The sequence below is a fragment of the Homo sapiens genome, chromosome 11, assembly GCF_000001405.40.
Source record: "Homo sapiens chromosome 11, GRCh38.p14 Primary Assembly".
In the NCBI taxonomy this organism is placed as follows: domain Eukaryota; kingdom Metazoa; phylum Chordata; class Mammalia; order Primates; family Hominidae; genus Homo; species Homo sapiens.
In genome coordinates this window covers 31,586,790-31,612,362 of record NC_000011.10, presented here as the reverse complement: position 1 = coordinate 31,612,362, position 25,573 = coordinate 31,586,790, and the positions used below count along the sequence as shown (strand labels likewise).

Sequence of the window (25,573 nt, the reverse complement as noted above, 5' to 3'; positions counted from 1 at the left end):
TAAGTTTCTCGATTCAACCCAAACTCCCAAGAGGTAAGTAACCACTCCCTAGTGGATAGCTATGCCTATTATTTCACTAAGAGAAGTCATCAGTACATATCTTCAGAAACTGCTGCTTTCTTTTCTACATCTTCATCCATTCCCTCTTTATTAATTTTTTTTGCATTGACATTTAAATAAATTAAATAAAACAGAGCAAAAAAAATCTTATTTCACCCCAAACCCCTTCCAGTTATTGATCTTTCTTTGCCACCTGAACTCACCTCCACATAGCTCTTTCCATCGCTCACACTATTTCAGCCACATTGGCCGTTTAAATCCTTGAAAACACCAAGTTCCTTCCTTTATTAGCACATCTGCTATTCCTTCTGACAATAATACTTCTTGGCCCAGTGCCCATTGCATGATTACCTTCTTCTCAGTTGGGTCTCAGCTAAAATGTTTCCACTTAGAAAGACTTTGAGTGAACACAACTCAAGGTATACCCACTGCCCTCTCTGCCCACTTAGCTTCTGCCATAGAAAATGTTTTTTCTTTATATTTAACTACATATATATTTGTTTGCTTGTTTAAAAAAAATTATGTGCTTTCTTATTGGACCGTAAGCTACACAATGGCAAGGTTAACGTCTGCTTTGTTCACTACAATAATCTAGAACTTAGCATAATGCTGGGCTCATAGCAGGTGCTCAAGTTCATAGACGGTGTTGAGATTTGGAAAAAGCTTTCAATAAATATTATCGGACATATGATTATGTTTACTTACTTCAGTAGATTGGACTATCCTAAGTCTAACATCAGAATCCTGGAAAACATTCTTGATATTCCCTTTCCCCTTTCCCCAACCTCAATGAGATCCAGTGAGATGAGAGAGAGAGATAGCGATCAGATTAGGTAAGGCCTTGTAGGGTCGTGGATTTACTATCCTGAATGAGTTGGGGAATCATTGGAGAGTTTGATGCAGAGTAGTGATAAGAGCCGACTCATACTGTAAAACTGGACTGCCTAACAAGATAGCCACTAATTATATATGGCTACTTAAATTAACTAAAGAAAAATAAAATTAAAATTCAGTGCCTTGGTCTTACTAGTCACATTTCATGTATTCATTCGCTGCATGTGGCTAGTGGCCACTACATTACACAGCACAGATACAGAAAATTTCCATCACTGCAGAAAATTCTACTGGACAGTACTATGTTGAAAAAGTCACTAGGGCTATGTTGAAGAAAAACAGGAGCCAACAAGGAGCAAGGACCAAAGAGCAAAGAGCAAGACCAATTACGAGGCTATCCCAACAGCTGTGGCAAGAAATGTGGGTAATGTAGGCTAGCATGTAAAGTTGAAGGTTGCAAAAGTGGTATTTGGATACATTTTGAAGACACAGTTGACAGGACATGCTAATAGATTGGATGCAGAGAGAGAGAAGAGTCAAGGGTCAAAGATTACATTATTGAAGTAAGGGCAGAAATCTGGAAGGATATACATAAACATAACTGTGGAGGAGATGACTGAGATTAGGAATGGGTGAATAAGGTGGAAAATAATAAAACAAAACCCATGCATACCAGTGAGATAGGATACCATGCATGAAATGAGGAACAAGATGATTCACTTAACTCTGTGTACCTGATGGCCTTTAAAGGACAGAAAGGAGGTAAAAACAAGGCAAACATGCAAGCAAGCAGTTTCTCTCCATTGGTCAAAATGAGGCCCAGCCACTCTCCTAAGTGAAATGTTGAAACAGATAACCAAATACTGCATGTTCTCACTTGTAAGTGGGAGTTAAACATTGGTACACATGAACATAAAGGTGGGAACAATAGACACTGGGGAATACGGAGGGGGGAAGGGAGGCAAGGGTTGAAAAACACCTATTGGGTACTATGCTCACTACCGGGGTGAAGTGATCAACAGAAACCCAAACCTCAGCATGATGCAATATACTTTTGTATCAAACCTGCAAATGTACCCTTTGAATCTAAAATAAAAGTTGAAAATAAAGTAAGTTAAAAAACAAAACAAAACAAAACAAACAAAAAATGAGGCCCAGAATAATAGTCCTCTTTCTAAATTTTCAAACATTATCTTTTTACTTTAATTGTATCACTAGCAGCTAAACAGATAGGCAGAATCTCTCTTCACACTTACATGATGCCTTTCCATCAGTTCTGAGATTTGCACTAATTTATCATTCACCATATCCTTTTAATAAAGTAATTTATAGTATACTTCTATAACTATATGACTTCCGAATTTTTAGTCTTAGATGTTCTATAGAATTTCTTTCTTGTGAGTGTAAATTTTCTGTTTTTTTAAGACAACGGTCTTGCTCTTTTGCCCAGGCTGGAGTGCAGTGGCATGATTACAGCTCACTCAAGTCTTGGCCTCTCAGTCTCAGGTGATTCTCCCACCTTAGTCTCCTGAGTAACTGGGATTACAGCATGTGCCACCACACCTGGCTATTAGTATTTTTTGTTTGTTTGTTTTTGTAGAGACAGGGTCTCACTATGTTGCCCAGGCTGGTCTTGAAATCCTGGGCTCAAGTGATTGATCCTCCTGCCGCGACCTCCCAAAGTGCTGGGATTAGAGGCATGACTCATGCTTGTAATCTTTAATCTTATATTTAGACTTTTGAATATACTGTGGATCTTTGCTTTTCAATCTAAAAGTCTTGTATTTTTGAAATAAAATGTTATCTCCCAAGGAGCCCCCTTGGGAGTACCAACCCACAGACCCCGGCCGGGCATCTCATAACCATATGACTACTTGTCTCATCGCAGGCCTTAACAAAGCAACCCATAAGGCTGCAAATTATGAAAAACTCAAAGATATCCCTCAAAGAGCTGATGAAAACCCTGCTGAATTTCTTTCCCGCCTTACAGAGGCCCTCCAAAAATATACCCATGTTGACCCCACCTCCCGGGAAAAAACTATTGTTCTTAATACCCATTTTATCTCTCAGTCTGCTCCTAACATATGGTGCAAACTTAAAAAGCCTGAAGATGGCCCTCAAACCCCACAAGACCTTCTCAACCTGGCTTTCAAAGTCTTTAATAATAGGGATGAACAAGAAAAAATAAAGCCCAACGAGATCGTGCCAAATGTCAGCTACTAGCCGCGGCTATTCGCCAACCTGGCAATAGCACCCAAGGGCACAAAAGACCCGATAGCAGCCTCCCTTCTGTGGCCTGTTTTAAATGCAGCCAAGAAGGCCACTGGGCGAGGGCATGTCCCAGCCCAAGGACACCAAAAACTCCTTGTCCAGCCTGCCAATGAAGCAGTCACTGGAAGTCTGATTGTCCTCTTAACAACCAGGCTAACAGATCAACTCCTCAAAACCTTGGCAAGGTAAGGAGTGAAAAATCGCTCACCCTACCACAGCTCCTTGGCCCTGCTGCTGAAGACTGACAGAGCCCAGGACCCTTGGCCCTATCTGCATCAGAGCCCAGGGTAACTCTGCTAATAGCAGGTAAGCCGATCTCTTTTCTAATCGATAGCAGGGCCAGCTACTCGGCTTTATCTAAATTTTTAGCACCCACTTACCCTTCCCAGGTCTCGTCTCACATCGACACGCTACTGAATCCCTTACTTGTTCCCTGTCTAATACTATATTTCTTCACACTCCTTCCTTATCATGCTTCACTGCCCCACTCCCATCGTAGGCCGAAACATTTTAGCCAAATTCAAAGCTTCTATCACCTCTTCCTGCCCACCGCAACCAGAGTCCCTCCTGCTCCTCTCTGCTAGTACGGCCCCTGACCCCCCCACCCAGCACCCGCTACCCACCTCTCTCGTTAACCCAGTAGTGTGAAACACCACCACCCCTTCCATAGCTGCTCACCAGGACCCCATCAAAATACAGTTAAAAGACCCCTCTAAATTTCCCAACATTCCCCAATACCCCATTTCCCTAACACACCAAAAAGGCTTACAACCCATCATAAACAAGCTCTGCTCACGCCGTCTTCTTAGACCAACACATTCTCCATATAACACTTCCATCTTCCCCGTTAGAAAATCTGACTGCTCATATCAACTCATTCAGGACCTCTGAGCCATCAATCAGGCTGTCCTCCCTATTCACCCCATGGTCCCTAACCCCCATACACTTCTCTCCCTCATCCCCTCCAACACCACCCACTATACGGTAATCGACCTAAAGGATGCTTTCTTTACCATTCCATTATACCCTCTAACATAACCTCAAACTGTCATATATGCTCTGTCACTTCCTCCCAAGGGGCCCTCCGTTCTCCATCTCATTATCATATTTCCAGGCACTCTCTACAGATTTGTAGGCTTCCCTAAAAAAAAAAAAAAATTGCAAACTCTATTACCCACCTCCAAAACCAACTAGACTCCCTAGCAGCAGTTACCCTACAAAACCACAAAGGCCTTGATTGACTTACTGCAAAAAAAAGGAGGTCTCCACATCTTCCTAGATGAGGAATGCTGCTTCTATTTTAATTAGTCAGGCCTGGTTCAGAATGCAGTCAAAAAACTAAAAGACCGAGCGGTTCTCACAGAATTCAACTCATTCAATTTAATCAGTAGAAAACTCAGACAATATAAGAAACTACTGGTTATTGTTATGATAAACATGTTAAAATAAAATCTTGAAATTCAGAGAAACATATCAAAATAAACTCATTCTATTGACTACCAACTGTATGCAAACTCAATATTCAAGAACTAACATCGTCAGATCAGTCTGTGCAATAGTTTGAAAGTGTACCCTACAAAATTCAGGTGTTGTCAATGTGATAGTATTAAGAGACGAGGCCTTTAAGAGGTGATTATGTCATCAGGGCTCCTCTCTCAAAAACGGGATTAAGGCCCTTATATAGAAGGCTTCACACAGCATTTTGGCTAGCTTGCCCTTTCACATTCTGCCATGTGAGAACACATCATTTCTCTCCTTTGGAGAATGCAGGAAAAAGGTGCCATCTTGGAAGCAGAGTGCTGGCCTCACCAGACAACCACACCTGCCAACACTTTTATTTTCTCATAGATCTGGAGGATAGAAAGTTCAATATTTAATTTCTCTCTTTATAAATTACCGAGTCTCAGGTATTTTGTTATAGCATCACAAATGGACAAAGATAGGATGCCATAACAAAATACCATAGATTGGGGGGCTTAAACAGGAATTTATTTTCTCATTGTTCTGGAGACTTGAAGTCCAAGATCAACATGCCAGCAGAGTTGGTGCCTGGTGAGGGCTCTTCCCTTAGGTTGCAGATAGCAGCCTTCTTGCTGTGTGCTCACATGGCCTTTCATTCTTGCATGCTCCCGGAGAGAGTGAGAGCTCCTGTGTCTCTCCCTCTTTTATAAAGATACGAATCTTATCACACCAGGGTCCCACCCTCACAACCTAATCTAAACCTAATTACTTCCCAAAGGCCCCATCTCCAAACATCATCCCATTAGGGGTTAGGGCTTCAACATATGAATTCTGGGGGACACAAACATTCAGTTGGTAGTGGTAGGTTAAGCAATATGTTAATATAATTGTTAATCAGTAAGAAAGACGACACTGAAAAATGGCAGTGTCTTTCTAGTAAGGAAACCAAACTATGCTTGGACATACTTGTTAGCAAAGCTTAACTGAAAACAAAGTCAAAGTAAACAATCTTAGACTCCAGAATTATTCTCAAAACCAGCTTATTATTTTGTGACTCAGATTATCTGATTTGTAATAGTGAAATATCCAAACAAAACTATCTTGATAATATTATTATAAAACATCTGAGATCTTTATACTCTGGCTTTAATTTGAAAATTTAAACTGTATGTATGAATTTTTTCTACAGGCAAACCTACTAATCATTTTAAATTAGTTACTGTAAATTTTAAATGATCTGCAGTTTTTCTTATTGTAAAAATATCTTTACATGTTTTAAGAGCACCTTCAGAAATTATAAAATTATATATTATATCCTCACATATGATAGTAGGACACAGCTATAACCTCTAGCCTTAATTATAGGAAAAGTATAGATAACTGTAAGGCTTAGCTTTATTGTTTTATAAATGAACCAGTAAAGTTCATTTTAGTGAAATGAGCACATGCTTTTCATAAATTAAAATAAATCTCACATGGTAAAGTACCCATTTTGAAAATTAATTTAATTACATGTTTAAAGTTTAATTACATTTAATTAAGCATTTAAGTTTAATATGAAATAAATGAATTATCAGTTAACTCTATGAAATGAAATACTGCCTTGATAATTAAAATCTATAAATTTTCCTATTCTGTGCGAAACTGCTAGTTCTTACAAAACACTCAGAAAATATGTATTTTAAAGACTATAGGATTATATCCTCAAGGCTGATTAAGGAGTAATTTTTCTGGCACCTACGTTGGTGGGTGTACATTTACTGCCTCAGTAAATGGAGGTAGCACGGTACAAAAAAAAAAAGAGCAGAGGTTTTAGAAACTTGAGTTTGGGTGTTAGCTCAGTCACTGACAGCCTGCAACAGTAGGAGAGTTACTTAGCAACTCTAACCTGAAATTGCTTACAAAATGGGGTTAACATTCTCTTGGAGGGTTGTTGGCAAAATTTAATGAGTTATCCCATATTCAAACGTCTGGGAGAGTACCTGACTTGGAAAATATATTTGACACATGCTAATCCCCTCCTTACCTCAGCTGTTGAGTAAATGAAGAATAACACTGTACTTGCTGGTGTAAAAAAAAGTATTGTCCTTAAAATACATTTTTTTAAATCACAAAAGTAACACCATATTATTTTTCATTTAAATACATCAAACATAATATACATTTTACATTTATTTTCCTAAGCACTCTGTTAATGGAGACAGTATGGCATTATTGCTAATACAGATACTTGAATCAGGGAGAATTTACTTTGAACCTGGGTTCCACTCTTTACTATTATTTGAAAAATTATGGGAAAATTACCCTGACCTATTTCGCAAGCTTCTATGTAAATGCATGTTTGACTCTATCTGTGGCAAAAACTGGGAAACATAAAAATCAATATAATCACTCAAACTTAACAAAAATTTAGTGAGCTAGTAAGGCAGGTGGTATTTCCTCTTCTCCCTACCTCCAATTTTTCACATGAAGATATTGATTTTCACTGATTTTAGGTGATTTGCCCAAGGTTAAGGGTAGGATGAACTCAATATAAGAATCCAGATTTTAAAAATTCTTTTATCAGTGCTCATTACTCCATGACACAGGAAAGTAAAGGTGAAAGACACCAAAATCTTCTGAAGCAGTGAAGCAAAAAAGAAAGATAAATCTGACAGATTAAGCCTGGTTCTATCACTTAATAATTAAAACTCAGATAAATCAATTCTGTGAATTTCAGTATCTTCTAGAAAATGGGACTTCATACTTCTGCATATTAGTACTACATAACCCTGTATAGGGTTAATATAAGGATTATAGAAGATAACAAATGTAAAGTGCCTAACAGAGTGGCTGACACATAGCAGTAATACATTAATGGTAGTTATAAATGCTAAAACAACATCAAAGCACCGCTTTTGCTAAGTCTCTATCCATAGATTGGAGAACTCCATAATAAAGTGAACATTTTTGGAAACATTTAATAAGCATGAGTACAGTAGTCTCCACTAAATTCTCAGGTATTATTTTTAGAACAGAGACTATAAATTTTAAGTCATTTTGGTTCACAACGCCTTGCCTATTAAATCTTCATTTAATAGCTCATCTCATTTTGAAAATGGTTTTACAAATGCTTAAGAAAATATAAATGACAATCTGTTCCATAACTTACTGAAATAAAAATTGAAATTAAATATTCTTAATACTTTATAACATACATTATTCAGTGTCAAGTCCTGTAATTTTCAGAGTTTTGTCTTAATAATGTACTGGCAGTATAAACATGTTGCATTGTTTTGATACTTAAAACCCAAACTCTAAATTCTAAGTCACTTAAAATTATGCAGATTGTTTTATTTACAGCAGAGCCAGAAATAGAAAGCCTTCATAAATAAAATATTGTAAAGTATATACTTGTTTACGCTCTGAAAAAGTATATGCCAAAAAATTAAATTAAGCAAACGACACTAGTTTGTATCATTTTCATTGCTATTATTATCAATACATATTTATTAGGTGTCTATTTGCATTTAAAGCTGAAAGACTCTGATTTAGAACTGTTCTACATTTTCTTGAAAACCAGCACTTATAAATTTGGTGTCCTGATTTTTCAAGTTGCAAATTAGAGAAATAGTGGTTTCAGCAGTTACAGGACCAGAGAAAAAAGAAAGCCACAGATAATGAAATACTATGAAAAATACATAGACTTGAAGTTACAAATTATATAGAAAACTAATATTTATTATTATGATATTTACCCTTAGATGTGTATTCTTTCAAAAATGTGGTAAAAGTGCATTCTACTAATATTTGAAATCAGATTTTGTTATTAAATGGGTCATTAACTTACCAGGGTTCTACTTTGAGAGTTGAAGATATTTTCTCTGGAAGAAAAAATCCATGCCAATTTGAAGCCTCAATTAGTTCTTGTGGCATTCTTTTTGATGCATCATAATAGTGACCAAATCTTGAAGATGATACTGGTCCAATCTGCTAAAATAAACCCCATAGTGGTTGTTAAACAATTATTTTTAAGCTATAATTTATTTGTCCTACATCCAGCAAAACAATGGCATATTTATGAATTTTAAGCTAATAAGGAAGAACGGATATACATACACTAAGTAAATTTCAAAGAAGCATACAACAACCTTTATTATTTTAAACCATTTATAGTTACAAATCAACCTTTTTATCTTTCATGTTTCTTCACTTCTAGTGGTTCTCTAAATTTGACAAGAATTTACAAACCTCTTTGGTTTTTTTTCATTATACTGTATGCCTTCCTAAGTTCAAAACTTAATATACATAATTCTTAATTAATATTTAAGATTCTAGGTTTTAATGACAAATTAAATATGCAGTTGCCAAGAACTAACTGAAAACTTAAACCCAATTAATTCACTGGTAAGAGGTCCAAAAGAAACTAGCTATTTAAATATATTACACTGAGTATAATTTTAAAACTGAATTCTCACATAAGACAATATACGTGTATATTAAACATTTCTTGCAAATTTAAATTAAGCTTATAGGATAAAATGTACTACAATACTCCAGACAGGAACAAGGCACATGATAAAGTGGAAGAATGTATATGACCCACATTAGATCAATCAGAACCTGGCATAATCATTGGTTCATTGATAATTCCTCTTTTGTGTTCTCTACTAACAATTTCTCTAACAAATTATCTTTCTTATAAGAAACTCTAATTTATATGACACTGAATTTATTTATATGGGATAGCAAAAGTCTACTAACATAACATTATTATTACATTGCTTTGAATGGACTTTGAGCTAATTTCTTTCATTCAATACATTGAAAATATATATACATCACTATCCAAAATTGAACTATTAACAAATTCCACTTGGCAATAGTCTCTAATAAAAGATTTCAGATCTACTATTACATAATTTCCACTGTCTTGAAACATATAAGTTTCAGAATATTCAACAAAACTAGATAATCACTACAGAAATTGAAGAACTATACATAGTAGATACTTATCTAAGTGACAACTTTTTAATTTAGATAAGAAAGACATATTTGCTTGACACTAGATATTTGCATTTAAGACTTCAAGGATTCATATTCTTAAACTAAATGCCTACCAATAGGAAATTATACAGTAATAAGAAATAAAAATTTTTAAGTCTAATAGAAATACTTTTTTCAGATTCAGAGTCTGTGGGTTTGACATTTATTTTTTAAAATGAAATGACCGTTCATCCCTCCATAAGGTACTACTTACTTTCATTAATAAGATATGCTATCAGTTTGCTTCAATCTAATCTTTTCAATCCAATATGTACAGAATTCTTGTTCCCAAAACATAATTTATCCATTTATCATGAAACTATTGATAAATAAAATATATAATATTAAAATGTTTCTTAAAAATAGGGTACAAACTTAAAAAATGTAAAGTTATTAGTCTAAAGCAATTTAAACAAGGTCTGTTCTTTGGCCTATAATCTATTCTTTATCCGGATTATAGTTCAGAATGTTTTTATTGCAATCTCTGCTAGAGCTCATCTTTTTATTGTGTAAGTCCAAGCCCCCTTAATGTTTTAGAAAGGCCTTGACTAACTGAACTTTGATCTGATGTCTTCATTGAGAAAAACACCAGGTTGCCCATTTCAGATGCAAATCCCCCTCAGGCCCAATAGAATTTAGTAAAGACAGCAAAAAAGAAAAAACCAGAAGTTTCCAGGATCCTCTTTGAGAATCCTGGGGCACACTGGTGTCCTTAATCCATGCAGCAGCATGGATTAAGGTAGGTGATAACCTTTCCTGATTCAAAAGAATAAGCAGAGTGCCTACAAACTGGGTGGAGACTAGGATTTGGCTATAATAAAACACCATGCAATAAAAGCTTGGTCTATGTCAGAAGCCTCTGAAAAGGCCTCAATGTACCACATTCCCAGGCCTAGTAGGGAAGCTTGCAAAAGCCTACCTGAATCAAATAAGCATGAATAATCTATTTTAGCAGACTGGCCATGGGGAGAGAGAAAGAAAGAGACTTTTCACTTCTTTTAAGTTTGAGTTAATAAATTTATTAGTGGACTGAAAGTTCTTGAAGTCCTATGCACTCAGAGAAATATGCTAAATTGCCAAGAAGCAAAGTATGCTTTTTAAGTTGCCGTCTCTATTAATGTTTCTAATTACAATATTAATGTGATAGAAATCTCAGATTTGGAATGAATCAAGGCAGAAAATTGATTTCATGCTGAGACAGTTTACATATAGAACACAAATAATTCATTAAAATGTAAAAATAAAATTGGAAGCTTTTCTCATTATAATTGTTATTAATTTATTTAGAAATTAAAATTAGATATGGTAGCTAAAATATTCATAAGGTAGCCATGAAAATTTTATTGCTGATGAAAAACTTTAATCTTTTCAATTAACAATGAAAATAAAAATATATTCTTACAGGAAAAAACAATTTTCCAAATTTTTCTGCTCAAGACATATAACATTAACATATAATCAGATTTTGAAACACTGAAATCTTTTGAGGCCTAGAATTATAAAACAAAGACTTAGACATTTCCTCTAAAAAAGATAACTACATGCTGTAAATAAAATAATTATCATCTACAAAAAACTGTTATCAACTCAATAAAAATTGACACATTTAAAAATATCAAACTATTATCAATAACTAGTCAGCTTATTAGGTAAGAACATGTTGCTTTAGTTTTACATTATGAAAACTTCTAATTCACGTTCATAAACTACCTTTTGACTTTGTCGTCTGTGGAAGTGAGTAAAATGAAATGGTTCAGTAAAAATTTATGATGTTAAAAGGAAATGAACTTTGATGGGGGTACAGGAGGAAAACGGTAAAAAAAATACCGTACTCTACTTGTAGTATGTTACAAAGAAACAAAACTTTCAAAGAAAAGCTGCACCAAGAAAATCTAAATAAGACCTTTTCTTACTGTTGTTATTATTTCTTATTTCTCAGTATAGCATACCAGACATCAAGAATCCAAACAGTTTTTAAAACACTTTGATCCTCAGTTTAATCACTAGAATCTGGAGCTAATAATTATTTTACAAGGCTGTTGTGAGACTCTAATGTAATACTGGCAATGAATATTCTGTAAATTGTGAAGTAGTATGTAAATGTTATTCATTGTTATTATTGTGTCATGATTCACTAGAGAATGAGAAGATCCATCACTGTGTTTTGTAATTACATTGCCTTATTGAAAAAATGGTATTTGTTGGTCATCTACACCTATACACATCTACCACAGGGCTGCTGCAGCTAAACCACTAAGATAGAAAGTCAATGTTTGATGAGAATTTAACATAATAAAGACTTAACACACTGCCATGAATTGCTGGAGTCATTGTAGGTCATGGTATTAGAGCTCTACAATACTGAGAAAATTAAGTCTCAGAATATACTGTCGGCTAGCAATTCATGGAGTGAGTCAGGAATAGTGGTTGATGATTATAAGATAGGGGAGAAGAAGGTATGTCCACCTTAGAGAGAATTAAAATCACATGGTGAAGAAAAGAGGGCTTTTTTAAAACTATACACTCTTCAATTCAAATGAAGCACTGTTTTATGCTTTACTGAACTATTGTTATTGATCTAGGTATATATATTCTTGTCCACTTTTGCATTAGTAAGTGGTAATATGGCTACACCCTTAGGACCTGGTGACAACTTATTTTAAAAGGCATCTATGATAATCAATACACCTACTTTTGAACTATTTATTTAATCTTAAGCCACAATTATGTTAACTGCATTTTGTCCCAAGTAAAATAAAGAAAACACAGTGAAGTCTACGGCCAAACCACCCTGAATGTGCCCAATCTCATCTGATCTCAGAAAACCCAGTGATATGGTTTGGTTCTGTGTCCCCACCCAAATCTCAACTCAAATTGTAATCCCCACATGTCGAGGAAGGATCCTGGTGAGAAGTGATTGGATCATGGGGGTGGTTTCCCCCATGCTGTTCTCCTGATAGTGAGGGAGTTCTCAGGAGATCTGATGGTTTAAAAGTGGCAGTTTCCCCTGTGCTTTCTCTCCTGCTGCCATGTAAGATGTGCCTTGCTTCCCCTTCACCTTCTGCCATGATTGTAAGTTTCCCGAGGCCTCCACAGGTATGTGAAACTGTGAGACAATTAAACCTCTTTTGTTTGTAAATGACCCAGTCTCAGTGAGAATGAACTAATACAGCCAGGTTTTTTTTTTTTGTGTGTGTGTGTGTGTGTGTGTGTGTGTGTGTGTGTGTGTATTAAAATGAGAAAGGCAAAGTAAAGCCTAGATTTATAAAGCAGATAATGACGAGTGATCATCAAAGCCTATCAGTCTTGGCAAATCATTACATATAAAATTACCTTAACAGGCAAATATACATGCTAGTGACATTTCAAAGAAAAGCAAAGAAGTCAGAAGGTGGTTCTATTTTCTAAATTGGATACAACTCACTGTAAATACAAGTAAACATAAGCATGATCATTGACTGCATATTCAAAATAAGCTATCATTTTGTCTGTATTGATTAATGTGTCTTAGCTCAGTTTAATATTTAATCTACATACTATTCATTCCTTCATGCATCCAACAAATAATTACTGAGCACCTACTAAATGTCAGTAAAACAAAACAGTCAAAGTCCCTTTCTCTCATTGAGCTCACATTCTAGTAGGAGATAGATGATAATAATAAATTAGATATATATTATCATTTAATGATAAGTGCCTTTAAGAAAAGTAAAGCTGTGAAAGAAGATGATACAGAGTGGTTTTATCTCATTTACAGCGACAAAGGCAGTCACTTCTGGTAAAGTAATCTTTTAGTAGAGACCTAAGAAAATGAAAAAATAAATAATCTGGACAAGTTCATCATAAGAAGAGAACAATTTTCAAAACATTCAAGCTTTAAACCTTGAAAACTGAGCACCAGGGCCGGGTTCAGTGGCTCATGCTTGTAATCCCAGCACTTCAGGAGGCCAAGGTGAGAGGATTGCTTGCTTGAAGCCAGGAGTTTGAGACCAGCCTGGGCAACATAGTGAGACCCTATCTCTACAAAAATATTAAACAATAAGCTGGGTGCTGTGGCATGCACTTGTGGTCTCATATTTGTGAGGCTGAGGTGGGAAGGTCACCTGAACCTGGGAGGTCAAGGTTGCAGTGAGACATAATTGTGCCACTGCACTGTAGCCTGGGCGACAGAGCAAGATCCTATCTCAAAAAAAAAAAAAAAAAAAAAAGAAGAAGAAAAGAAAAAAAAAGGAAAAGTGTACTAAGTTTATTTGTTAATATGCAACCTTAATTAATAGGTAACAAAGCCAATGGCAGGTACACCAGACTCTAAAAGGAAGAACAAAATTAGCACTACTCACTGGGGCAAGGATAGTATCTATGATTCGAATTTATAAAAAACAATGTATTTTTAGAGAAACAAATAATTTTTACCCCAACTCTATATAGCTTTCATAATAAGCAATAAAAGAAAAGGCTGGCCAGGTGCGGTGGCTCACACCTGTAATCCCAACACTTTCGGAGGCCGAGGTCGGCGGATCACGAGGTCAGGAGTTCAAGACCAGCCTTGCCAACACAGTGAAACCCCATCTCTATTAAAAATACAAAAATTATCTGGGTGTGGTGGTGTGCATCTGTAATCCCAGCTACTTGGCACGCTGAGGCAGGAGAATCGCTTGAACCCGGGAGGCGGAGGTTGCGGTGAGCTGAGATCGTGCCACTGTACTCCAGCCTGGGTGACAGAGCAAGACTCCATCTCAAAAAAAAAAAAAAAAAAAAAGAGAAAAGGCTTAAAGCTTTAGTTACTTGCATTTTTGACAACCATTTCACTTGAGAATGCTAATTACCAATGAAAAGACCAAAATCAGCTGGGTGCAGTGGCTCACACCTGGAATCCCAGCACTTTGGGAGGCCAAGGCAGGCAGATCACCTGAGGTCAGGAGTTCGAGACCAGCCAACATGATGAAACGCCATCTCTACGAAAAATACAAAAGCTAGCCTGGCGTGGTGGTGGGCAACTATAGTCCCAGCTACTCGGGAGGCTGAGGCAGGAGAATCACTTGAACCTGGGAGGCGGAGGTTGCAGTGAGCTGAGATCGCTCCACTGTACTCCAGCCTCTAAACTTAGAGTTTAGGTTCATTACTGACTCTTTCAGGACACAGCAATAGAAAAATTAGAATACAGTCACCATTAAGGCCAGTCACTTGAATGAATCTGCCAGAATCAAAGACGTGAAGTTCTTTGCCATTAGGGTTCTCAAGTGCTAGTCCTATATTTCTAGTCTGTTTTGATTTCTATCACTTAACTCATATTTTTCTAGACAGACTAACCTCTATTCTGGCCTCTTGCACCCAGTTCTCGTTCACATCCAAGCTAGGCTATATCTGTAACAACTTCTGATTACACAGAGCTTCCTTCTATTTTTTAAAACAAATGTATAGTATTTTACTGTTCAGACATACCATAATTTATTTAGCTAGTTGCTTACTGATAGACATTTAGGCTATTTTCAATCTCTTGCTGTTAAAAAAATCTGCTGTATGAATAGCTCATGTGTATTTACTTTTACATTTGAGTAAATATATTCATGATGTAAATATCCAAAAGAATCAAAGAATATATGTTTTTGTAATCGTGAAGGTTACTACCAAAATACTTTCTACAGAAGTTGTACCTTTTTACATTTTCACCAGCAAAGTATGAGTATCAGCTTCCCCCATCCTAGCTAATACAGTGTCTTACCAAGTTAGATCATTGTCAATTTGATAAGAGAAAAATAGCAGGACAGTGTAGTTTTCATTTGAATTTCTCTCATTAAAACTGAAATTGGGCATATGTTTTGTATGTTTAAGAGTCACTTACATTTCCTTTTCATATTTCTGCCCATTAAAAAAAATCAGTTGTAGAATTTTCCTTTTTCATTTTAAGTTATTTGTATATAAGGAAAATTTGTCCTTATTTTATAATTTGAGTTGTAAATATTCTCTCTTAAATTTGTAGTTTGTTCACAGTCATTTAAATCACAGCTTAAAAATATTATTCAAATAGTTTCCACACAAATTAGAACAATATGTCATTGCTTAATATGCATCTATTATAACATGTTTTATATCTGGTACACAGATGATACTTAGTATTTGCTGACTGAATGAATAAATACATTTATCATTATTATTGATTAAAAGAGCATTAGCATAAGTGCTGGAGGTACAAGAGAAAATAAAACAAGCTCTCTGCCTCACAGAAAATTTTCTGTGTGGTGGAGGAGAGAGTTACACTACCAATTAAGTATAAAACAATGAGAAAGATGTATATATACATGTTTTTTGAGACGGAGTCCTGCTCTGTCGCCCAGGCTGGAGTGCAGTGGCACGATCTCAGCTCATGGCAACCTCCACCTCCCAGGTTCAAGCAATTCTCTGCCTCAGCCTTCTGAGTAGCTGGTATTACAGGCGCCCGCCACCACGCCCAGCTAATTTTTGTGTATTTTTAGTAGAGACGGGGTTTCACCATCTTGGCTAGGCTGGTCTTGAACTCCTGACCTTGTGATCCACCCGCCTCGGCCTCCCAAAGTGCTGGGATTACAGGCGTGAGCCACTGCACCCAACCCAGAGAAAGATGTATTTTAAAATATATGAAGTGCTACAGGGAGAAAAAGGAAAGCAGAAAATTAGTATGGAAAGCCATAAGAGGTAGTAACATTTGAACTTGGAGAAGGATGCATTGGTGAGTAAGAAAGTGAAAAAAGCATTACTAAAAGAAATACAAGCAATTTATAAGAAGCAATTCTCAAAAGATAGTTGAATGTAGTGTTTTATATACACAGGAGGAAGAGGCTAAAAAGGTAGGCTTGGATTAGATTATACAGATTTTGTATACATACAATCTTAAATTTGTATTTCATATTGCGAGCTTATAATATCAAACAGGTTTGATCCCATATACTAACTTTCATTAGTGGTAGCGGCTACCCAGAACATTCCTGTAGAGAAGAATTCTAAGGCTGTGTCTGAGTTTGGCAGCATAGTATTAGAGGGTACTACAGTCTGCTATTTATTTAGAAGGGGGTAGTGAAAACAGGAAACCAAATGAGGCATTTGAAGTTAAAGGTATCATACACATATTTCTATCCTTGGGAAAGATAACACTGATGTCAATGTGGAAGACTAGAGAAGGATGGACAAAGGAAACTATGTCTTATTCAGATTAGAATATTCCTTTCTTTTCTACTAGTATGCTAATATCTGATAGATGTTAAATAATGTAGTCTGAAAAGTGAATGAAGTGAACAATCAAATAAGGGAGCTAATAAATGAACCATGCCATCACCAGGAATAGAGTTCATGAGTTTTACTGGACAGATTTATTGGCATTTGTTCTGACTTCTCAGAAATTTTTCCTTCATTTCTTACCTATTCTGTCTGTTCTGAATAGATGACATTACCAGATAGATGAGTTTGAAAATGTAATGATTGAAAATGTATAAGGATAAAAATAGTAATTCCAAAGAACCATCACTTACATTGAATATTTATAGGTAAACATACTGGATAGAAATGGCTTCATTAGTTCACTTACTCTGTCTTGCAACTCTAGAATAAAGCATTCTATATGGGCATTATGGAAGAAATGAAACAACCTATTTTGGTAAAAAACAAGTTACCATAGATTTTATTTGTAAGAAATAGATCATCTTGACCAAATACTCTACAAATGAAACAGCTAATTCTTTAAATAAACAAATACACATATAGGCATACCACAAGAGATTCTGTAAGATGAAAACAAATGCATTTGCAAATTTTGGAAAGAATTTGTATGTTTACTTGCCTCCATCTTGGGTAATAACTGGTAACGCCAAGCTATTTTCATCTTAATATTAGATTCTGGTGTTTTATGATTGTATACATCTTCATCAAATTCCTTTTTACATTTATCATCAAGTAATGGTGCTGGAAGTTCCTAAGAAAACAAAATGACACATAATTGAGATTCTGTGGTAAAATATGACAATTTTCTTAAACCATAATATTAGCAACACTAGAAATTTCCAATGTATTGAAAATTCATGACTAACATTGATTTAAATACAAATTCATAAAAATAGACATTTCTAAAACAGAGAAAACAAGTATAATACAAACATTTAAGTTTAACTTTTTAGCAATAAACTGGAATTTAAAGAAAATATCCAAATTTCTATACTCACAAAAATCAATTGCCATTCTAACAAGAGGTTATACTCAATTCTCAAAACGTATCTGCTTAAAGCAAAGTCTGGAATTAGTACTTATGTATTCCATATAATTATTATTATGTTGGCCACAAGGTAAAAATAAAACATTTGCACAATCTGCTTATTGGTTTGTAATTTTAGAATTCAAAAAAGCAATTCACTAAAATAACGAGTGAAGTAACAACTAAGAATAATGACATTTATTTTACCTACATCAAATGCTAGCTTTGCACCTGCAAGCTTATGTCTCTTCTTTAACAATAATCTCTGATTAAATGAAGAGACAGTAAGTTACAATTTATTAATTTTGGAAGGTGACCAACTTCATAACCATAAAATACATAAAAAACTAGAAAACATGTTTGTTAAGCGGTACTATAGAAAGAATTCAAAGAAAACTGTATTTAAGTTTCTTGAAGAAGGAAAGCACATACAATAATTTTGTTTTATTTTCTATTAGAATCATAAAGATAATGTAGGGCATTGGATTAGTAAATATAACGTGTGCTATGTTATATATTAGTCTAAATTGCAACTTCTACTTTTCAAGATCAAATTTACTTATGCTTAGAATCATGTCGACAAATCAGCTCAAAACACATTAACTGTTAATATGATATATTTTACTCACCTTCTAAAAGACCTCAAAGTGAATTCACATTTTAATTAATGCTAGTCTTAGAAACTAGTTATATCATTTAAGCTGTGAATCCATCATTCCTAGCTAAGCATTAGTATCTTACAGTATAAAGTAACTTCATTTTCCAGTGGAAATACGTATTTGTGAGAGTATAGTGTAATACAGCATAGTGGTTATGAGTTTGAATTCGGCAACTAGAATGTCCAGTTCAAATCTTGACTTTGCACTAGTAGCTGTGTCTGTGTTACCACAGGACCTCTCTATGTCTCCATTCATCATCTAAAAAATGGAGGTAATAGTATTTACTTCAGGCTGCGTGCAGTGTCTCACACCTATAATCCTAGCGCTTTGGGAGGCCAAGGTAGGGGGGGATCACTTGAGTTCAGGAGTTTGAGACCAGTTTGGGCAACATGACAAAACTCCATCTCTACAAAAAATACAAAAAGATTAGCTGGGTGTGGTGGCACATGGCTGTAGTGCCAACTACTTAGGGGAGGATCGCTTGAGCCCAGGAGGTTGAGGCTAAAGTGAGCCAAGATCATGCCACTGCACTCCAGCCTGGGTGACAAAGTGAAACCCTGTCTTAACAACAACAACAACAACAACAACAACAACAACAACAACAACAGTATTATTCACTTCAATGGGTTGTTGTAAGGAGTAAATAAGTTAAAAATGTAAAATACAGAGAATGATGTTTGCTACATGTTAGGAATCCTACAAATGTTAGATTGTGAGAAGTCAGTCAAACAATTGTCCTCAGAGCCACACATTTTGTATTGTCAATATTGGGCAACAAATTTAGTATAATGTATTTGGTTTAACATCTTTTTCAACCCCAGGGACACCTGGCAATAGTTGTAACAATGGTTACTCACAACTTAATAATAAAAACATTTGAAAAATAACTTATATCACACTGTCCTCTTATTGTGGAAAATAGGCCAATTCTAAGAAATGCTCTTACATTAATGTGTACAATATTAGAGAAATAACCCTAAAATACTAGAGATTCATTAATATGTTTAACTTATCTAAACAAGATGAGACTATAAAATATAGGTAAGCATTTCCTCATTTAAGTTATTAAATATGTATCTATTCCCATAATAGACGTTTTACCATGTTAAAAACTTTTAATGTATCATGAAAATTATAATGATTCCAAGTTTAATACTGATAAGGCACTCATTTTCAAAAGATGTACAGAAAATACACTTTATCAATTAATGCCTATGTAAAGGATATAAGGTTTCTTATATATACATATACATATATAAGGTTTCTTATATATACATATATAGGTTATAAGATTTATTATATATACATACATATATATATTATATACACATATATACACACATATATATATACACACACACACCTCCTGGGCTCAAGTGATCCTCCCACCTCAGCCTCCTGAGTAGATGGGACTACAGGCACATGCCACCATGCTTGGCTAATTTTTGCATTTTTTGTAGTCCAGATTTCACTATGTTGCCCAGGCTGGTGTTGAACTCCTGAGCTAAAGCAATCTGCCTGCCTCGGCCTCCCAAAGTGCTGGATTACAGGCGTGAGCCACCACTCCCAACTCTTTATATATTTTTTAAAGTGAAATAAAATTGACATAACATAAAAACAACATTTTAAGTAAAAAATTTGGTAATTTTTAATAATTCAGAGTTGTGTAACCATCACCACTATCTACCTTCATCAGTCCCCCAAAAAACTGCACACCCATTTAGAAATCACTCCACATTCCCCTTCTCTCCTGCCCCTGGCAACCACTAATCTTGTCTTTATGGATTAGTCGTTCTGGACATTTCCTATAAATGGAACCATACAATACGTGACCTTTTGTGTCTGGCTTCCTTCATTTAGAGTAATGTTTTCAATGTTCCTCTATGTTGCACCATGTTTCAGTATTTCATTCTTTTTTATGGTCGAATACTATTCATTGTATGTATGTACCACATTAACTACTCATCACCTGACGTACATGGATCATTTCTATTCTTAAGTTATTATGAGTAATGCTGCTGTAAATATTCACACACAAACTTTTGTGTGAACATGTTTTCCACTGTCTTTGGTATATACCTAGATGTGGAATTCCCGAGTCACAGGATAATTCCATTTTTAACTATTTGAGGAACTGCCAAAATGTTTTCTACAGTGGCTGCACCATTTTACATTCCGACCAACAATGTACGTGGGTTCCATTTATTCTATATTCTTAGCAACCAATTGTTGTTATTATTATTATTATTTTTAAATAGCTACCCTAGTGGGGATGAAGTGGTATCTCAATGCGGTTTGGATTTGCATTTTCCTAACGACAATGATACTGAGCATAACTTCATGTGCTGGGTTGGCCATCTGTATTTCTTCTTTAGAAATATGTCTATCATGGTTTTATACCCCCCCCCCCCCTTTTTTTTTTTTTTTTTGAGATGGAGTCTCGCTCTGTCACCCAGGCTGGAGTGCAGTAGTGCCATCTCGGCTCACTGCAAGCTCCACCTCTCGGGTTCATGCCATTCTCTTGCCTCAGCCTCCTGAGTAGCTGGGACTACAGGCACCCACCACCACGCCTGGCTAATTTTTTGTATTTTTAGTGGAGACAGGGTTTCACCATGTTAGCCAGGATAGTTTCAATCTCCTGACCTTGTGATCCACCCACCTTGGTCTCCTAAAGTGCTGGGATTACAGGCGTGAGCACTGTGTCTGGCCCTTATCCCATTTTTAAATTGGGCTGTTTATCTTTTTGTTGAGTTGTGAGACTACTTTATTTATTTTAGATAGTAGACATTATCAAATATATTATTTGCAAATATTTTCTCCTTGGACACTGGAAGCGTCCATTGATGGACCAAAGATCTTAATTTTGATGAAGCCCAATGATACAGTTTGGATGTATTCTCCATCCAAATCTCATATTGAAGTGTAATCCCCATTGTTGGAGGTGGGACCTGGTGGAAGGTGAACAGATTATGGGGGCGGATTGCTCATGAATGGTTTAACATCATACCCCATGGTATTGTCCTTGCAATAATGAGTTCTGGTGTTTAAAAGTGTGAACTACCTTCCTGCTTGCTCTCTTGCTCCTGCTCCTCCCATGTGAGATGCCTGTTCTCAATTTGCCATCTGCTATGATTAGACGCTTCCTGAGGCATCCTCAGAAGCATAAGCCACTATGCTTTCTGTACAGCTTGCAGATCTGTGAGCCAATTAAACCTCTTCATAAATTACCCAGGCATTTCTTTATAACAATTTGAGAATGGCCGAATACACCCAACTTATCTGTTTCTTTCTTTTGCTGCTTGTGCTTCTGGTGTCATATTTAAGAAATTGTTGCCTCATTCGAAGTCACGAAGGTTTATACTTATGTTTTCTTCTAAGGATTTTAATTCTTAAATTTAGCTCTTTGATACATTGAAAGTGAATTTTTATATACTGTGTGAGGTAGGGGTTCTTATATTTTTATAAGACTGAAGTATCAGTTATGTTGAAATTATTATTGAGTACCAATATATGCAAAGTCCTGGTCTAGTTTTTTGTGGACACAGCAGTGAACAAATTTAGTAACAATAACAAGAGTACATATATATATATAGTACTTGCTCTATTCAGGGCAGTTCTAAGTGCTTTAGATATGTTAATTCAGTGTTCGATAATAAACTTATGAGGTAGGTACTATTATTATTGCCTTTTAGGTTGGTGCAAAAATAATTGCGGTTTTTGCCATTACTTTTAATACATAATGGGAAACTGAAACATAAAGAAGTTAAGTAACTTGTCCAAGGCCACAGAGCTAGTAAAAAATGGAGCTGGGAATCTGAAGCCAGTTGGTAGTCTGATTCCAGAGTGTGTGCTCTTAACCACCATGCTATATTGCTTCTATAATAAGCTTTCATTCTATTTATGGAGTAAAACAATAAACAAACAAATAAATAATAGGTCACATGATAATAATGTATCATAAAAATTATAATGATTCCAAGTTTAACACTGATAAAGATGTTTTTTGTGGACAAGTGTAGAACTGGAGCAAAGTAAGAAGGCAAAGACTCCATTTTAATAAACTTAGTAAAGGATGGCCTTTCTGATAAGGTCAAAACTGATGGAGACAATTCTATATATAATTAGTTGAAATTCTATAAAATATACTACTATAGAACTTGTCACATAGATGTGGTATCATCTATATACAATTTATAATCTTTCAGAAATATATCTATGCTATTGCCCAGATCTTGACATAGTAGAAACAGCACTAATGTTAAGAGATTCAGGTATGTGAAGAATCCAAGGTTCTGTAATTTAATCTTGCTTTATTCTTCAAATGCATATATGAGACTTATCGTACAGTAAAAAAGGAGTACATAAAAGAGGCACTAGATGATCTTTACTGTCCATATTTATATATAGCTCTCTCTTTTCTGAATTCCCATTTCACTTTCATCTGTGCCAAACATTTTGGTACTGGATCATATGCAGCTTGATATTCTTCGACATTTCATGTATGTATAATCTCATTTTCCAATAAAGGCTATAAATTTCTTGACAGGTAGGGACTATATGGTAATGTATATATTCTGACCTTGTTATAAAATGAGCACCGTAAGAAGTACAAAGAAGATACTCAAGAGATGCTTAGTGAAATGAACCACAGAAACTTCCTGGAACAATCTTAGTGGGCCAATTTTGTGTTATTCTCAAGGGAATTAATACCACAGCTTTCTTTGGGCTCCTTATGTTTCATGTGCTAATCTTTCTCTATCCCTATTATGTTGCAATTCTTTCTCAGTATAATGTGAGGTACATGTTTTCCATTTAATATGTTATTTGTTTTTTAATTATTATTATTATTTTTGAGACAGAGTCTCACTCTGTTGCCCAGGCTAGCATGCAGTGGCGTGATCTTGGCTCACTGCAACCTCAACCTCCTGGGCTCAAGCCATTCTCATGCCTCAGCCTCCTGAACAGCTGGGATGACTGGTGTGCGCCACCACGCCCAGCTAATTTTTACATTTTTAGTAGACATCGGATTTTACCATGTTGGCCAGGCTGGTCTTGAACTCCTGACCTCAAGTGATCTGCCCGCCTTAGCCTCCCAAAGTGTTGGGATTATAGGCGTGAGCCACTGTGCCCAACCTTAATATGTTATTTTACTGCAAAATATTGAACTTATAGTTCATTTCATCATTTTGAAAAACATAAAAGTTTTTCAGCCGATATATCCTGGAATTTTTAAAAAATAATAATTTAAAAAAAACAATTTCAAACAACGCGGAGAAGTACAAAGAAGAATTAGTAATCAAGGAAATGTGCTTTAAAACCAGTTACTATTTCCCACCCATTATACCGGCAAGCAAACAAATGAAACATCTAAAAATACCAAAGTTGTTAAGAGACCAGAGAAACTGGAAGTCTTATTCACTGCTGGTGGGAAGTTAGGAGTTTACCAGTTTTACTACTGAAAAACCACTTTGGAGAACAATTTGGAAAAATTTCAGCTGAAAATGTGCATATCCTACCAACTACTCCTGAATAAAAAACCTCATACACATGCCCCAAGAAGTAAAGAATCATCATTGAGCATTTTAATAACAATATAAATATCTATCAATAGGAAATGGTTAAACTGTTATATAAACATATTATTAAAAAGAATAAGATTGATATGAAATAGAATGGAAAGATCTGGAAAATAATGTTGAATCAAAAAATCATGTGGAGTATAACATAAACAATATGATAGTTTATGCAAATTTTTAAAAATCCACAAAGCATATACAGAAACATATATGTTTTAAAAGTATATAAACAGTTTGGAAAGAAATACGTCAAATTTTGCATTATAGTTGAAGAATAGGAAGGAAAATAAAAGACTTCAACTATCAACTATAATGTTCTGTTGCTTTTATTACAAAAAATATTTGTGCATACATAAAACATGAATAAAAAAATAATTTTGTTAATTATCAGTGGTGGTGTTAATTACACTATGGTATAAATATATTTAGTTTTTAAAGCTATCTTTAAAAATGTAGAAAGCTAAAAAATTTTAAAAGCCAAAACCCCCTGCGGACAATCATTGTAACATTAAGTAAGCAACATTTCCAGTTTACACTTACCCATAAATATGCTAGAAAAATATTACCATAACAATAGTATTACATAATAAAATATCAATAATTAATATTAACACTTTATAGAAAAAAACAAAAATAAAGTAAAATGGAAAGAACTAAAGAACTATTGAACTGATCAACAATTCTTCAGTTCAAGAGAGATTATTTCTCAACATGTTCTCCCCTAAGATAAATAACATGATTTTGGAGCACAGTAAGAAGTTGGCATTAGTATGCTCCTTTTTACACTTTTCAGCTTGCAACAAAATCAATTTCTCTTTCCTTTTCCCCTTCTCTAAAACATGAGGAAATTAGCACTTACTTTCTCTTAACTCCTCTCCCTCAAATCTCGTTTTTTTCCCCCCTATTACTTCAGTGCTGTTACGGTTTATAACGTTTTACATTCTAGTCTGTAACCAGACACAGAGTTACTTAGTTTAGGTTGTTAACATGGATTCATTCACCACTGGTCCTTTTAAAACAGGTCCACCTTTCTTGAGTTACCTTAGTTGATAACTGCATTTACTTAACAGTCAGGAAGGCACTAAGAATAGAGCAGTGAACAGAGTAAAGAAAGTCTCTGCTTTCATGAAGTTATATTCTAGAAGGGCAGCGATAGGAACTTCTAAGAAAACAGAGGGAAAGAATACAGAGTAATGGGGAGAGGCATTACTTAAAATAGGGTAGTCAAAGGAAGCTCTCCCTGACAAGGTAGATAGATTATATTTTTGATTATTTTTTTCAAGAGAGATCATGGAGTTTCTTCATGTTTAAAAATATTTGGCCGGTCGCCGTGGCTCACGCCTGTAATCCCAGCACTTTGGGAGGCCGAGGCAAGTGGATCACGAGGTCAGGAGATTGAGACCAGCCTGACCAACATGGAGAAACCCCGTCTCTACTAAAAATACAAAATTAGCCGGGCGTGGTGGCCG

The 25,573-nt window shown here is 35.3% G+C and overlaps 1 protein-coding gene across 3 annotated transcripts in view, besides 1 other annotated feature; it reads right to left on the bottom strand.

Moving 5' to 3' along the window:
* ELP4 (elongator acetyltransferase complex subunit 4) overlaps positions 1–25,573 on the bottom strand; it is a 280,558-nt gene that overhangs the window by 177,962 nt on the left and 77,023 nt on the right. For 2 of the 3 annotated variants that reach the window (NM_001288726.2, NM_019040.5), the window contains exons 4-5: positions 17,462–17,593; positions 8,456–8,595 (exon numbers count right to left, since the gene is read on the bottom strand). In NM_001288726.2, coding sequence (NP_001275655.1) covers positions 8,456–8,595; positions 17,462–17,593 — 272 coding nt within the window. Of the gene's footprint in view, positions 1–8,455; positions 8,599–17,461; positions 17,594–25,573 lie in introns of all 3 variants that reach the window. The other variant, NM_001288725.2, reaches the window with a different exon arrangement.
* Positions 9,792–11,088: an enhancer, noted in NCBI's record as "VISTA enhancer hs565; includes RB conserved element and PAX6_hs7". NCBI's record gives its function as "enhancer in: midbrain (mesencephalon)[8/10] | forebrain[8/10]" and the evidence as "EXISTENCE:transgenic organism evidence [ECO:0001131][PMID:17014839, PMID:17130149, PMID:19073165]".